This window comes from Homo sapiens, chromosome 5 (genome assembly GCF_000001405.40).
Source record: "Homo sapiens chromosome 5, GRCh38.p14 Primary Assembly".
NCBI classification, from domain to species: Eukaryota; Metazoa; Chordata; class Mammalia; order Primates; family Hominidae; genus Homo; species Homo sapiens.
In genome coordinates, this window is record NC_000005.10 from 116,993,293 (window position 1) to 117,011,038 (window position 17,746).

Here is a 17,746-nt window from a genome sequence, read left to right on the forward strand (position 1 = left end):
TCAATGAAATCCACAAAATTAGCGTAAGGGACACTACAAGTACAGTCTGAGTTTGCCCACTGTCTACTTTCAATCTCATTATAAAAATGGAGTGCCTGTCCCCTCCCATCTAAATATCCCTTATAATGGACCTTTGAATGAGCTCTGTCCATATTAACCAGAAACAATCTATACTTATCAGTACTGTGTTCCGCCCCCAGACATTTAAAATAACTCAAAGCATGCCTAGATGTATGAGAGGTTGGTGATTTTCACCATAAAATATATTTATTTTTGGCCCTGATGAATTTGTATTTACAATGTCTGATATTTAATTGTTTTAAATGAAAGGTGTTAATTTAGATCAGAGACAAGAATGAAAGAAGAAGGGTGTCACAAATTAAGATTTGGAGCACTTTGATGAGGATTTTAGATTATTTGAAGGTGTGAGGCTTGATAACCCAAAGAGATGAAAGTAAACAATGGAATTGGAAGAGCATAACATATTTCAGAGTAATAAGAGCTGACATTTATTGATTACTAGGTATATGGCAAGTAGCATAATGCTTCATATGGATTATTTAATCTTTGAGGTTGTCATATAATATAGATAATATCATTATTCCAACTTTAAAGATAAGGAAACATTAAAAAAATAACAAAATGTTAAATAGATATCCTTAAATGTGATTATGTAAACTATTATTTTATGTAGTTTACTTTGTTCACATATACCTCAACCTGTACCAAACAACAACAGCGCAACATTTAAGATGACTTGCAAAGATAGATAAAATACAGCATAATAAAATACATTTAAAAAAAGACAATGAGGCAAAATGACCATATGTTAGGAAAATAGGAGGAGCCAGAGACAGAAGGGTAGACAAAACAAGCAATAAAATAAGCACATTTGCTAAATATTGGCCACATTAAATCCAACATGAATGAAGAAATAGTAAATTACAAGACTCATGAGGTCCATAAAGTAAAAATAAAGCAACTTTTGGAAAAACTCTTTTGCTACTGCTATTGAGACCAGAGAACATTTTCTCTAAGGAGGCCTCATAAATGATAATAGTATTAATCACTAACATTTAATTCAGTACTTTGCTTCCGTTACCTCATTTAATCTTCATAGAAAACTGGTAGTTATTCTACTTTTAAAGATGAGAAAACTGAAGCACAGAGAGGTTAAAGAAATTCCTTAGAGTCACACAGCTAGTAAGAAGCAGAACTGTGATCCCAACCCAGGTCTATCTGGGTCCCCAGCCAGGGCTTTTATACTAAATCACATCAATTCTTGCAAGTTTCCATGCAGTGTACACTGGAATGAATTGGAAAGGGATTTTCCTGTTTCTCACCACTCCCCACAATAGGCTGCAATGAAATCATTCCAGGCAGAATTAGGCAACGACAATTCCATTGGTAGTCAATCTAACCAACAGTCAAGGATGGATGAAGCTGGAAGTCATCATTCTCAGCAAACTAACACAGGAACAGGAAACTAAACACCATGTGTTCTCACTCATAAGTGGGAGTTGAACAATGAGAACACATGGACACAAGGAGGGAAACATCACACTTCAGGGCCTGCCATGGGACTGGGGGCAAGGGGAGGGAGAGCATTTGGAAAAATAGCTAATGCATGTGGGGCTTAAAACCTAGATGATGGGTTGATAGGTGCAGGAAACCAACAATGCACATGTATACCTATGTAACAAACCTGCATGTTCTGCACATGTATCCCAGAACTTTCAAAAAAAAAAAAAAAAGAATGTATGTCTCACGCTTAATTCTTTTTAGGACACAGCCTTAGAACAGAATGTCACAGTTTGCTGGACAGCCTGTTATGTTGTGAATGGATAACAGGGATGGGGTGAGGATCACCTAAGTCCCCTGGATAACTAGTTGTGTCTTGGATAGCCATAGTCCCAGGCTGGTTGCTTCAGGTCTCATAAACTTGCTCAGTGATCTAAATAGATGGCAGAAACCACGATCTTCAGCTGTCGTTGCTCTTCCAAAACTACCTGAGCCTGGCCAAAGGGGTGCTACCACTTTGCCATCCATTCTAGCCTCCAGTTGTAGAGCATAACCCTTGCCCATTTGTAAAGGGCTCCATGAAAATATTGGAGCTGTTTGTGTTTCTGTACACAGTCCAAGTGTGGCCACACAAAAGTGGGGAAAGGAGAGTGAGGGACAGGGTAGGGAAGGGGTATCTGGCAGGTGCAGTTCAAGTAAACACATAAATATCTCTCTTACATAATAAATACTTCTGTTTGTGACTGAATGTCCTTCTGAGTTGCAGCGTGATGACTAACATACTGCAAATGAGAACTTCATTAAAAAAAACTTGGTATGAAAAAGTGTGATTGGATTTGAGATTCATTTCTACATTACATTAGATAGTAGAAGAAAAACAAGAGCTGAAGCTGCTTGAATAAAAAATGCCAACTGTTGTCAATCTTTAATTGGATATGAAAAATAGCCCTGGACTTCTTTTCTTTTTGTTACCAGCTTTCTTGAGGTATAACTGATGTACGATAAACTGCACATATTTAAAGTGCATAATTTGACAAGTTTGACTTATGTATATACCTGCAAAACCATCACCACAATAAAGAGTGACCTTATGGATTATTCTCAAAAGCTCCCTCTTGTCCCCTTCTCTTCTACCCGCTTGTCACTCACCTTTTTCCTGGCCAGTGCCGGTCTGCTTTCTGTTACTGTAGATTAAATTGCATTTTCTAGACAAGAGTTGGCAAACTACATGGCCTGTGGACCAACTGCCTGTTGTTGTAAACAAAGTTTTATTGAAACACAGCTGCACTCATTCATTTATGTGTTGTCTATGGCTGCTATTGTGCCATAATACCAGAGTCCAGCAGTTGCATCAGAAATTCTATGGTCTCCAAATATTTAATGTCATGCCCTTTACAGAAAAAGTCTATTAACCCTCATTCTAGAGTTCACATAGGTGGAATCATAGGGTATGTACTTTTTTTTTTTTCTGGATTCTTTAATTCACTATAGTTATTTTGAGAGTCATCCATGTTGTTGCATGTAACATAGCTTTTTAATTTTATTACTTTTATTTTTTATTACTGGGCAATAATCCATTGTATGACTATACCAAGATTTGTTTATTTATCTACCTGTTGATGTGCATTTGGATTTTTCCAGTTTGGGGCTATTATAAACAAAGCTTCAATGGACTTTCATGTGCAAGACTTTGTTTCGCCATACTCGTTCTTTATTTTTAGATAAATGCCCAGGAGAGAAATAATTGGCTTATAGAGTAGGTGTATGTCTAACTTGACAAGAAACTGCTAAATAGCTTTCCAGTTGATAGATCCATTTTTTTTTTATTCCCATCATCAGTGTATGAGAGTTTCAGCTCCTCCACAACCTTACCAATGCTTGGTATGGTCAGTCTTTTAAATTTTCACCATGTTACACACTACTTTGTGCAGTGGTATCTCATTATAGTTTTAATTTCCATGTTATTCATTACTAATAATGTTGAACATGTTTTACTGTGTGTATTTTCCATCTGTGTATATAAATGTATATATATATATGTATATATATATATTTTGGTAAAGTCTCTATTCAAATCTTTGCTTATTTTTATTTGGCTGTTTGTTTTCTTATTGTTGGGTTTTGAGAGTTCTTTATATCTGAATACAAGTCCTTTGCCAGATATATGATTTGTAAATATTTTATTCTAGCCTGTAGTTTGTTTATTTTCTTAACTTTTTTTTTTTTAATTTTGAGACCAGGAGTTTTAAATTTTGATGAAGTCCGATTTACTGTTATATTCCTTATGGATTATACTTCAGATGTTTTATTTAAGAAATCTTTACCTAGCCTAAGGTCACAGAGACTTTTCTCATGCTTTCTTCTAGAAGTTTTATGATTTTAGGTTTTATATTTAGATCTGTGATCCATTTTGAGTTAATATTTATATATGGTGTGAAGTATGGATAGTTGTTTTTTTTCTTTTTCTTTTTTTGGCATGTGGATATTTAATAGTTTCCTCACCATTTGTTAAAAAGACTAGATGAGGCCGGGAGCAGTGGCTCACTCCTGTAATGCCAGCACTTTGGGAGGCTAAGGCGGGTGGATCACGAGGTCAGGAGTTCAAGACCACCCTGGCCAAGATGGTGAAACCCCGGTCTCTACAAAAAATACAAAAATTTGCCGGGCGCAGTGGCAGGCACCTGTAATCCCAGCTACTCCGGAAGCTGAGGCAGGAAAATCGCTTGAACCCAGGGGACGGAGGTTTCAGTAAGCCGAGATCACACCACTGTACTCCAGCCTGGGCGACACAGTGAGACTCCGTCAAAAAAAAAAAAAAAAAAAAAAAAGACTAGATGATAGCGGACTAGATGCAGAAGATGGCTGACTAGATGCAGCTGCCACCGAGGGACCCGGACAACTGGCACACTCCTAATAGATCTCCGGAAGACAGTGACAGTGGACGGAGGGAAGACACAAGCTGAGCTCAAGGAAGAATCTGGGTACCCTGCAGAGCCCTACTGTGCACCTGGACTCCTTCCTGACATCCAACGACTACTCCTGGGAGAACGGATGAGTTGATCCGGAAATTAGCAACCCGCTCTCACTACGGGCTTCTGGAATCACAATAGCAGGAGACCCTTCCACACCATGGACACTTAAGTTGTCAGGGAGAGCTGCTTCGAGAAGTGGTAGGGGCAGCACACCAGCTGATGCGGAACCTAGAGCGTTTGGTGCTGAGCGTCTGTAGCAGACATGGCCAGGGACGGCCACCCCTCTAGGCTCTCTTTGGCTCCCATACGAGACTTTAGCCCTAGGGGAACAGTGGGGCCTAACTCTACAGCGCGGTCTTGACCATCAGACGGGGCTGGTCCGACCTGAGGGGTCGACTGACCCCTTCTGGGGCTTCAACCTGGCTGTGCCTGCTTTCAGGGCAGCCTCAGGTGCCCTGGTGACCTGTACCATAGCTCCTGTGCTGGTGGAACATGCCTGGCTGACAGAGGGCTCCAGCGGGGTGGCCCCTCACAGCCACGCACCAGCCTGCTTACTCCCTCCACTCACTGCAACTTCCCTGGGCCCATGGCAACCTTCTACATCGCTTTGCTGGCTCGTGTGTGCGTGGGCAGGTTTTGCTTTCCCTGCCCTACCGATATTAATATCAAATTAAATAAAAAGAGTTAGTATCTCTTTTTATGTTAGTATCAAGGTAGATATCATTGAAAAGAATATTATCGGGGCAAAGAATGTAGTTTCATAATGATAAAGAGATCAACTCATCAAGAAGACATAAAAGCCCTAAATGTTGATGCATCTAATATTAGATATTCAAAATTAATTAAGCAAAAACTGATTCAAATATAAGGAGGAATATGTAAATTTCAATAACTGTAGTCAGAAATTTTAATATTTCACTCTCAATAATTAATAAGAAAACTAGACAGAAAATCAGTAAGAACAGGCCTGTCAACTAATTTTATCTAAATGATATTAGTGATGTCACAAAATACTCCACACAAGTGCAGAAGAGACATTGTTCCTAAGTGTACACAAAACATTTACTAAGACAGACCATAATCTAGATCAAAAAACAAATATCAATAAATTTAAAAGAATTTAAGTCACATAGAAATATGAGCCACAATGAAATTACAAAAAGAACGCATAGCAGAAAGTTCTCTAGAGAATCTGTAAGTATTCAGAAACTAAACAACACACTACTAAAAAACTCATAGGTGAAAGAAAAGATGAAAATAAAATACAAAACATTTTGAACTTAATAAAATAAAAAGATAATATGTTGGAATTTGTTTGATGCCACTAAAACTGTACTTCGGGTGGACGAGTTAGTAATTATTGCCTAAATGCTTACATTAGAAATGAAGAAAGAGCTCATAGTAATGACCTCAACTTCCACCTTAAGAAACTAGAAAATGAAAAGTAAATTCAATCTAAAATAAGAAAGAAAAACAGAGATCAAAATTGAAATCAATAAAATTGAAAATGGAAAAGCAATAGTGATAATTAACGGAACCAATTTTTCTAAGAATATAAGTAAAATAAGTAGACCTCTAGCTACAGTGATCAGAAAGAGACAGGATATAAATTACCAACATCAAGAATGAGAGAGGTGATTTCACTACACATTTACACAAATAATCAAAGGATAATTAGTGACTGTTATGAATAACTTTATACCAAGGAATTTGACCACTTAAAGGAAATAGACAAATTTCTGGAAAGACGCAAATTACCAAAGCTTACTCGAGAAGAGATAACCTAGTTAGACTTGTATCTACTTAAGAAAGTGAACTTATAGTAAACACATTTCTACAAAGGAAAACCTAGGCCAAGATCATTTCGCTGGTGAATTCTACCAAGTATTTAAGAAAGGAATTATACCAATTAAACATAAACTTTTTCAGAAAATTGACAAGGAAGAAACATGCATAGCTCATTCTGTGAGGCCAGTATTAACCTGATGCTAATATCAGGCAAGGACATTGCAAGGGAAGATAACCATAGACCAATATAATTCATGAACATAGATGCAAACATTCTAAAAAAATTTTTAGCAAATCATATCCAACAATATATAAAAAGCACAATACATTATGACAAAGTGAATTTTATACCAGGAATTCAGGTTTGGTTTAACATTAACAAATCAATCAATGTATTTCACCATATTAAAATGCTGGAAAAAAATTAAAAGAAAATATTATCTTGGTATATGCAGAAAAAGCATTTGACAAAAATCTATCACTTATTTCTGATTAAAAACAAAACAACAAACAAAAAACTCTGAGCAAACTAGGAATAGATCTTTCTCAACCAGATAAAAGACATCTACAAAAACAACATCAAAACTGGCTAACATTATACATAACTGTGAAAAGCTGAGTGATTTCCTCCCAAGATCAGAGAAAAAGGCAAAGATGTCTGCTATTGCTATTACTACTTCTAATCAACACTGTACTGTGGGTTCCAGCCAGTGCAATCAGGCAATAAAAATGAATTTTAAAACATCCAGATTGAAGATGTAGAAACAAAAGTGTCTTTGTTCACGGATGACATTGTCATATATCTAGAAAGTTAAGTGGAATCTACACAGAACCACTAGAACTAAAAAAAATGAGTTTAGAAAGTTAATTGGAATCTACACAGAACCACTAGAACTAAAAAAAATGAGTTTAGAAAGTTGACAAGATCCATATATAAAAACCAATTGTGTTTCTATATATTAGTCACAAAAAAAATTGAAATTTAAAATAAAATATAGCATCAAAAATATGATGGGAACAAATTCAACAAAAATGTGAAAAACCTGTGTACTAAAAACTACAGAAGAGTGCTGAGAGAAATTAAACTATTTAGTAGAATCATAGGTCAAAAGAGTCAATACTATTAAGTATTGACTTGTTGCCCAGGCTAGAGTGCAATGGCACAATCTCGGCTCACCGCAACCTCCACCTCCCAGGTTCAAGCGATTCTCCTGCCTCAGCCTCCTGAGTAGCTGGGATTACAGGCATGCACCACCACCCTGGCTAATTTTGTATTTTTAGTACAGATGGGGTTTCTCCATGTTGGTCAGGCTGGTCTTGAACTCCCGACCTCAGGTGATCCGCCCCTTGGCCTCCCAAAGTGCTGGGATTACAGGCGTGAGCCACTGCGCCCGGCCCAGCAGTGTATTTTCTAAAAATTGACAAGCTAATTTAAAAATTCATATGGAAATGCAAAGAACATAAAGTATCCCAAAAAACATTAACTAAAACAAAGATGGAGGGCTGGTTCTTCCTGATTTAAATACATACAAATCTAGAATAAACAAAAGAGTGCAGCATATTGTGTAAAAATAAACAAATAGATGAATGAAACAAAACAGAGGGTCTAGAAATGTTCCCATGCATATATAGACAATTGATTTTTAACAGAAATGAGAAAGTCATTTCTGTGGATAGCCGTCTTTTTTAACCTTTATTTTAAGTTCAGGGGTACATGTGCAGGTTTGTTATATAGATAAACTCGTGTCATGGGGGTTTGTTGTATAGATTATAAATTGTCACCCAGGTATTAAGCCTAGTACCCATAACTTATTTTTCCTCACCCTCTCCCTCCTCCCACCCTCCATCCTTTGATAGGCCCCAGTGTGTATTGTTCCCCAATATGTGTCCATGTGTTCTCATCATTTAGCTCCCACTTATAAATGAGAATATGTGGTATTTGGTTTTCTCTTTCTACATTAGTTGGCTAAGGATAATGGCCTCCAGCTCCATCCATGTCCCTGCAAAGGCCATGATCTCATGCCTTTTAATGGCTGCGTAGTATTCCATGGTTTATATGTGCCACATTTTCTTTGTCCAGTCTATTATTGATGGGCATATAAGTTGATTCCATGTCTTTGCTATTGTGAATAGCGCTGCAACGAATATACACATACATGTGTCTTTATAATAGAGTGTTTTTTTTTTTTTTTTTTTTTTTTTTTTTTTTTATTGATCATTCTTGGGTGTTTCTCACAGAGGGGGATTTGGCAGGGTCATAGGACAACAGTGGAGGGAGGGTCAGCAGATAAACAAGTGAACAAAGGTCTCTGGTTTTCCTAGGCAGAGGACCCTGCAGCCTTCCGCAGTGTTTGTGTCCCTGGGTACTTGAGATTAGGGAGTGGTGATGACTCTTAACGAGCATGCTGCCTTCAAGCATCTGTTTAACAAAGCACATCTTGCACCACCCTTAATCCATTTAACCCTGAGTGGACACAGCACATGTTTCAGAGAGCACAGGGTTGGGGGTAGGGTCACCCATCAACAGGATCACAAGGCAGAAGAATTTTTCTTAGTACAGAACAAAATGAAAAGTCTCCCATGTCTACCTCTTTCTACACAGACATGGCAACCATCTGATTTCTCAATCCTTTCCCCGCCTTTCCCCACTTTCTATTCCACAAAACCGCCATTGTCATCATGGCCCATTCTCAATGAGCTGCTGGGTACACCTCCCAGACGGGGTGGTGGCTGGGCAGAGGGGCTCCTCACTTCCCAGTAGGGGCGGCCGGGCAGAGGCGCTCCTCACTTCCTAGATGGGATGGCGGCCGGGCAGAGACGCTCCTCACTTTCCAGACTGGGTAGCCAGGCAGAGGGGCTCCTCACGTCCCAGATGATGGGCGGCCAGGCAGAGAAGCTCCTCACTTCCCAGACGGGGTGGCGGCCGGGCAGAGGCTGCAATCTCGGCACTTTGGGAGGCCAAGGCAGGCGGCTGGGAGGTGGAGGTTGTAGCGAGCCGAGATCACGCCACTGCACTCCAGCCTGGGCACCATTGAGCACTGAGTGAACCAGACTCCGTCTGCAATCCCGGCACCTAGGGAGGCTGAGGCTGGCGGATCACTCGCAGTTAGGAGCTGGAGACCAGCCCGGCCAACACAGCGAAACCCCGTCTCCACCAAAAAAATACGAAAACCAGTCAGGCGTGGTGGTGCGCGCCTGCAATCGCAGGCACTCGGCAGGCTGAGGCAGGGGAATCAGGCAGGGAGGCTGCAGTGACCGAGATGGCAGCAGCACAGTCCAGCTTCGGCTTGGCATCAGTGGGAGACCGTGGAAAGAGAGGGAGAGGGAGAGGGGGGAGAGGGAGAGGGAGGGAGAGGGAGAGGGACGAGACTGAATACCTTCTAACATGTTTGTTAGCCATTTAGGTTTCATAATCTTTGCCTTCCCTGGTGGTCTAGTGAGTAGAATAATAATATCATCTAGGCTGGAATGCGGTGGTGAGATCTGAACCTCAACCTCCTGGGCTCAAGTGATTCTCTCACCTCAGCCTCCTAAGCAGCTCAATAGAGTGTTTTATATTCCTTTTGGTATATACCCAGTAATGGAATTGCTGGGTTGAATGATATTTCTGTCTTAGGTCTTTGAGGAATCACCACACTGACTTCCACATGGTTGAACTAATTCACACTCCCACCAACAGTACATAGGTGTTCCTTTTTCTCCACGACCACACCAGCATCTGTTATTTTTTTACTTGTTTTTTCCTTTATCATTTTAATAGGTTTTGGGGGGAACAGGTGGCGTTTGGTTTCTTGAATAGGCTCTTTAGTAATGATTTCTGAGATTTTGGTGCAACCATTACTGAGCAGCATACACTGTACCTAATGTATAGGCTTTTATCCTCCACCCCCTGCCCCATCCTTTCCCCTCCAGAGTTTCCATAGTCCATTGTATCATCCTTACGCATTTGTGCCTTCATAGCTTAGGTCCCACTTATGAGTGAGAACATATAATGTTTGGTTTTCCATTTCTGAGTTATTTCACTTAGAATAATGGTCTCCAATTCCAACCAGGTTGCTTTGAATGCCATTATTTTATTCCTTTTTCTGGATAAGTAGTATTCCATGGTGTGTGTGTGTGTGTGTGTGTGTGTGTGTGTGTGTATGTATATATATCTCACATTTTCTTTACCCATTTGTTGATTGATGGGCATTTGGGCTGGTTCCATATTTTTCCAATTGCAAATTGTGCTGTAGGTGATAAAAAGTCTTAAGACAGCCATTATTAAAAGCCAAAATTGACAAGGAAATTTGGTTACTTCTGTGTCATACAACCATTTTACATAAAAATTATAACTATTAATAACATACACTAAGTTATATCAGAATTATAGAAGTTTCTTATAATTTTGGAACACATACCAATAAAAGATTTATACAAATGCAGTGCCCCAAAAAGGCAAACACTATTTCATATTTGACAATACTTCCTCTATGACTTTTATACTGAATAAGCCAAATTTCACCTCTTCATTAGGGCATTATTGATGCCAAATCCAATTCTTAATAAAATGTTATAGACAAATGTATTCAGTCTTAATCAGTCTGACCATAAGGTAAGATTCTTATAATCATTTTATAACCCTTTACAAATTTTTGTTAAAGAGCAGATCGGTGCTCCAAGAAAAATTCTGTTGTACTTTTATTTTAATGTTCAGTTTACAAATAAACTGAATAATATCCCTTTAATTTTAGCCAATATGTTCACTCATATAATTATGTATTTATTTATTTTTTTGAGATGAAGTCTCACTCTTTCACCCAGGCTGGAGCGCAGTGGTGCAATCTAGGCTCACTGCAACCTCTGCCTCCCAGGTTCAAGCTATTCTCCTGCCTCAGCCTCCCGAGTAGCTGGGGTTACAGGTGCCCACCACCACGCCTGGTTAATTTTTGTATTTTTAGTAGAGATAGGGTTTCACTATGTTGGCCAGGCTGGTCTCGAACTCCTGACCTCGTGATCTGCCCGCCTCGGCCTCCCAAAGTGCTGGGATTACAGGTGTGAGCCACTGCACCCTGCCCATAGTCGTCGTCATCGTCGTTGTCTTCTTCTTCCTCTTCTTCTTCTTCTTCTTCCTCTTCCTCTTCTTCTTCCTCTTCTTCTTCTTCTTCCTCTTCTTCTTCTTCTTCCATTTCTTCTTCTTCTTTAAATCCTTTTAAATTTCTTATTACCTAACTCTAGCCATGCCAAATAGCCAATATTTCTGTGCTCAGGGAGAGGAAAATTCAAGACCGTTTGTGGAGGGGAAGACAATTAAAAAATGAGAAAGGTTGCCTAAATATCAAACCAGAAGAGTCATTCCTTACCCCAGTATTAAACCTGGGCTTCCTTTGTAAAATGGCAATGCCTTAACTGCTGAGCTACAGCATTAGGCGGTTTCCATTGCTTTTCTCAGAAGGAGTCCACAGCAGCCAATTTTGAGCTTGCAATGGCTTTTAACTACTCAAGATAATTTTGAGAGCTCACTATGACATAAACTCCAAAATTCCTGTTTCCTGGATGACAGAGACCAAGAGAAAGTACTGCCATGGGGTTACAAGGTCAAGCTCCCAAGGACATTTTTCAACATGTGGTCTCTGGACACAATGAAAGAATGGACAGTCACTCTGAGTAACAGAAAAGATAGAAAAAATAAAGGAGAGAAAGAGAGAAAAGCATGGCCTACAGCAGAGTGGGGAAGGTGAGGAGCTCAGGGAGGCCAGAGAAAGACCCACCCATTTCAGCAACACTAAATCAAAAGTTCAGGCAGCTGCTTGTTGGTTGTGAAGGGAACTTTTCCAGCAGTCCCATCAGCTCTCAAGTTTCCCCTTTTGGGGAGAAAAAGCTCCTCATGCCCTGTAATCCTGTACATGCCTAATCCTGTCACCCATAGCTGTCAGCAAAGAGTGCAAGGCAGATTAATCCAAAGAGAATAGTGGTTAACCCATCCCGTAGTGCCAAACCCATTCTTAGCTGAGAGGGCCTTTACTGAGAGGGTGGCCTCTAATCCCCTCTGACATTACTAAGTTGGGCCTTGAACACAAGTTTGGTCAAGCGTCCTTGACTTTTATTAAAAAGGCCTTTAATCAACTCTGTCTTAGGAGAGACTCTAACTCCCTTTACTTGGGCCTCTAACCTAATCCCATCCTTTACCCAGGTACCCCACCACTTATCCAAAGTCAGCCCATCAGTGCTGCAGTCTATTTCCTTTGGGTCAGGGGTCTCCTCAGTATTGTCCCTTCGGGGTTTGCCAGAAAGAAGTTACTGGAAAAAAGGGGTCCCAATCTAGACCCCAGGGGAGAGTTCTTGGATCTCTTTCAAGAAATAATTCGAGGTGCGTCCATAGAGTAAAGTGAAAGCAAGTTTATTAAGAAAGCAACAGAATGAAAGAACAACTATTCCATAGGCTGAACAGTCTATTTTTTTATTTTTAATAATAGCCTTTCTAACTGGTGTCAGATGGTATCTCATTGTGGTTTTGGTTTGCATTTCTTTAATAATCAGTGGTGTTGAGCTTTTTTTCATGTGCTCATTGGCCACATTGTGTCTTCTTTTGGAAAGTGTCTATTTATGTGATTTGCCAACGTTTTAATTTTTTTTTTGTAAATTTGTTTAAGTTCCTTGTAAATGCTGGATATTATACTTTTGGAGTTGTTTTGTTTTGTTTTGAGACGGAGTCTCGCTCTGTCACCCAGGCTGGAGTTCAGTGGCGCAATCTCGGCTCACTGCAACCTCCACCTCCCGGGTTCACGCCATTCTCCTGCCTCAGCCTCCCGAGTTGCTGGGACTACAGGCACCCGCCACCACACCCGGCTAATTTTTTGTATTTTTAGTGGAGACGGGGTTTCACCGTGTTAGCCAGGATGGTCTCGATCTCCTGACCTCGTGATCCGCCTGCCTCGGCCTCCCAAAGTGCTGGGATTACAGGCGTGAGCCACAGTGCCCGGCCTATTGCTGGATATTATACTTTTGTCAGACATGTAGTTTGCAAAATTTTTCTGCCATTCTGTAGGTTGTGTGTTTACTTTGTTGATAGTTTCTTTTGCTGTGCAGAAGCTCTTCAGTTTAGTTAGATCCCATTTGTCAATTTTTGCTTTTGTTGCAATTGCTTTTGGTGTCTTCATCATGAAATCTTTACCTGCGCCTGTGTCCTGAATGGTATTCCGTAGGTTGCCTTCCAGAGTTTTTATAGTTCTGGGTTTTACATTTAAGTCTTTAATTCATCTTGGGTTAATTTTTGTATATGGCATAAGGAAGGGGCCCAGTTTTAATATTCTGCATATGGCTAGCCAGTTATCCCAGCACCATTTATTGGATAGGGAATCCTTTCCCCATTGCTTGTTTTTGTCAGGTTTGTCAAAGATCAAGTAGTTGTACATGTGCGGCCTTATTTCTGGGTTCTGTATTCTGTTCCATTGGTCTATGTGTCTGTTTTTGTACCAGTACTATGCTGTTTTGGTTATTATAGCCCTGTAGCACAGTTTGAAGTCAAATAGCATAATGCCTCCTGCTTTGTTCTTTTTGTTTAGTATTGCCTTGGCTGTTCAGGTTCTTTTGTGGTTCTACATGAATTTTAAAAAAGTTTTTTCTAGTTCTGTGACAAATCTCTATGGTAGTTTAATAGGAATGGCATTGAATCTATAAATTGCTTTGCCAGTGTATTAGTCCATTTTCACACAGCTATAAAGATACTACCTGAGATGGGGCAATTTATAAAGGAAAGATGTTTAATTGACTCACAGTTCTGCATGGCTGGGGAGACCTCAGAAAACTTACAATCATGGCAGAAGGTGAAGAGGAAGTAAGGCACATCTTACCTGACAGCAGAAGAAAGAGAGATCGAGGAAGTGCTACACTTTTAAAACCATCTGCTCTCCTGAGAACTCACTATCAGGAGAACAGCATGGGGGAAACCACCCCCATGATCCAATTACCTCCCTCTAGGTCCCTCCCTCAACATGTGGGGATTACGACTTTAGATGATATTTGGGTGGGGACACAGAGCCAAACCTCAGGAAACTTACACATGGTGGAAGGTGAAGGAGAAGCAAGCACCTTCTTCACAAAGTGGCAGGAGAGAGAGACAGAGAAAGTGAAGGGGAAACTGCCAAACACTTTAAAAACCATCAGCTCTCATGAGAACGCACTATCATGAAAACAGCATGGGGAAGCCATCCCTATGATCCAATCACCTCTGACCAGGACCCTCCCTCGACATGTGGAGATTACAATTTGAGATGAGATTTGGCTGGGGACACAGAGCCAAACAATATCAGGGAGTATGGCCATTTTAATGATATTGATTTTTCCTATTCATGAGTATAAAATGCTTTTCCATTTGTTTGTGTCATCTTTGATTTCTTTCAGCAGTGGTTTGTAGTTCTCCTTGCAGAAATTTATTACTTTCCTAGTTAGCTATATTCCTAAGAATTTTATTCCTTTTGTGGCAATTGTGAATGGGAGTTTGTTCCTGATTTGGCTCTTGACTGACTATTGTTGGTATTAGGAATACTAGTGATTTTTGCACACTAATTTTGTATCTTGAGAATTTTCTGAAGTTGTTTACCAGCTTAAGAAGTTTTTGGACTGAGACTATGGGGTTTTCTAGATATAGGATTAGGTGTGCAAGCAGGAATAGTTTGACTTCCTGTCTTCCTATTTGAATACCCTTTATTTCTTTCTCTTGCCTGATTGCTCTGGCTGGGACTTACAATACTATTTTAAATGGGAGTGGTGAAAGAGGACATCTTTGCCTTGTGCCAGTTTTCAAGGGAATGCTTCCAGCTTTTGCCCATTCAGTATGATGTTGGCTGTGGGTTTGTCATAGATGGATCTTACTATTTGAGGGATGTTCCTTCAATACCTAGTTTATTAAACAGTTTTTAACATCAAGGGATGATGAATTTTACAAAAGCCTTTTCTGCATTGATTGAGATAACCATGTGTTTTTTTTTGTTTTGTTTTGTTTTGTTTTTTGAGACAGAGTCTCACTCTGTCACCCAGGCTGGAGTGCAGTGGCATGATCTCGGCTCACTGCAAGCTCCGTCTCCTGGGGTTCACGCCATTCTCCTGCCTCAGCCTCCCGAGTAGCTGGTACTACAGGCACCTGCCACCACGCCCGGCTAATTTTTGTATTTTTAGTAGAGATGGGGTTTCACTGTGCTAGCCAGGATGGTGTCGATCTCCTGACCTCGTGATCCGCCCGCCTCGGCCTCCCAAAGTGCTGGGATTACAGGTGTGAGCCACGGTGCCCAGCTAATCATGTGGTTTTTGTCTGTATTTCTTGTTTATGTGATGAATCACATTTATTAACTTGTGTATGTTGAACCAACCTTGTGTCCCAGGAATAATGTCTACTTGATTGTGGTGGATAAGCTTTTTGATGTGCTGCTGGATTTGATTTGCCATATTTTGTTGAGGATTTTTGCATCAATGTTCATCAAGAATATTGACATAAAGTTTTCTTTTTTTGTTCTATCTCTGCCAGATTTTGGTATCAGGATGATGCTGGCCTCATAGAATGAGTTAGGGAGGAGTTACTCCTCCTGAATTTTTTGGAATGGTTTCAGTAGGAATGCTACCAGCAATTCTTTGTCATATGGTATAATTCATCTATAAATCTGTCTTGTCCTGGGCTTTGTTTGGTTGATAGGCTATTCATTATTGATTCCATTTCAGAGCTCATTATTGGACTGTTTAAGGATGTAATTTCTTGTTGTTTTAGTGTGGAAGGGTGTATGTGCCCAGAAATTTATCCATTGCTTCTAGATTTTCTAGTTTAGCTATATAGAGTCATTAATAATATCCTCTGAGGGTTATCTGTATTTTTGTGTGGTCAGTGGTAATATCCCCCTTGATGGTTCTGGTTGTCTTATTTTGTATCTTCTCTCTTTTCTTCTTTATTAGTCTAGCTAGCAGTCTGTCTGTTTTATTAATTAAGAAAAACAGCTCCTGGATGTGTTGATCTTTTATTATTTTGTGTGTCTCAATCTCTTTCAGTTTAGCTCTGATTCAGATTACTTCTTGTCTTCTGCTAGCTTTGGGATTTGTTAGCTTTTGGTTCTCTAACTCTTTTAGTTGTGATGTTAGGTTGTTAACTTGAGATGTTTCTAAGTTGTTTTTTTTTTTTTTTTTTTGAGAGGGAGTTTCGCTCTTGTTGCCCAGGCTGGAGTGCAATGGTGCAATGTCAGCTCATTGCAACCTCCAACTCCTGGATTCAAGTGATTTTCCTGCCTCAGCCCCCCAAGTAGCTGGGATTACAGGCATGTGCCAACACAACCAGCTAATTTTGTAGTTTTTAGTAGAGACAGGGTTTCTCCATGTTGATCAGGTTGGTCTCGAACTCCCGACCACAGGTGTTCCACTTGCGTTGGCCTCTCAAAGTGCTGGGATTACGGGCATGAGACACAGTGCCTGGCCTCTAACCTTTTGATGGGGCATTTAATGCTAGAAATTTCCCTCTTATCACTGTGTTGGCTGTATCCCTGAGATCCTGATATGTTGTATTTTTGTTCTCATTAGTTTCAAAGAACTTCTTGATTTCTGCCTTAATTTCATTATGTACCCAAAAGTCATTCAGGAGCATGTCCTCATAATTGTATGGTTTTGAGTATTTTCTTAGTCTTAATTTGATCTGAGAGAGTGGTTGTTATGATTTCAGGTCTTTTGCACTTGCTTAGGAGTGTTTCATGTGTGATCATTTGGCCATTATTAGAGGATATGCCATGTGGCAATATATATTCTATTGTTTTTGGATAAAGAGTTCTATAGCTGTCTATCAGGTCCCTTTGATCCACTGCTGAGTTAGGTCCTGAATATCTTTGTTAATTTTCTGCCTCAGTGGTCTAATACTGTCATTGGGGTTGAAGGCTCCCACTATTACTGTGTTGGAGTCTAAGACTCTTTGAAGGTCTCTAAAAACTTGCTTTATGAGTCTGAGTGCTCCTGTGTTGGGTGCATATATATGTAGGAGAGTTAGGTCTTCTTGAACTGAACCCTTTACTATTATGTAAAGTCTTTTTTTGTCTCTTTCAATCAAAGTTAAAGTCTGTTTTTTCTAAAATTAGGATTGCAACCCATGCTTTTTTCTATTTTTGATTTGCTTGGTAGATTTTTCTCCATCACTTTATTTTGATCCTATAGGTGTCTGCATTTGAGATGTGTCTCTTGAAGACAACATACCAATGGGTCTCAGTTCTTTATCCATCTTGCCACTCTGTGCCTTTTAATAGGGCGTATATCCCATTTACATGCAAGGTTAATATTGATATGTGTGATTTGATTCTGCCATCATGATGTTGGCTGGTTATTACGCAGATTTGTTTGTGTGGTTGCTTTATAGTGTCAGTGATTTATGTGTTTAAGTGTGTTTTTATAGTGGCCAGTAGTGGTCATTTCTTTCTAAATTTAGTGCTTCCTTCAGGAGCTTGTGTAAGACAGGTCTGGTGGTA

The 17,746-nt window shown here is 39.8% G+C and overlaps 1 annotated feature.

Annotated features, from left to right (window-relative positions):
- Window positions 9,067-9,725: an enhancer, noted in NCBI's record as "H3K27ac hESC enhancer chr5:116338055-116338713 (GRCh37/hg19 assembly coordinates)". NCBI's record gives its function as "activates a minimal SCP1, AML or CMV promoter by ChIP-STARR-seq in primed H9 embryonic stem cells {active_cell/tissue: H9 hESC(primed)}" and the evidence as "EXISTENCE:reporter gene assay evidence [ECO:0000049][PMID:30033119]".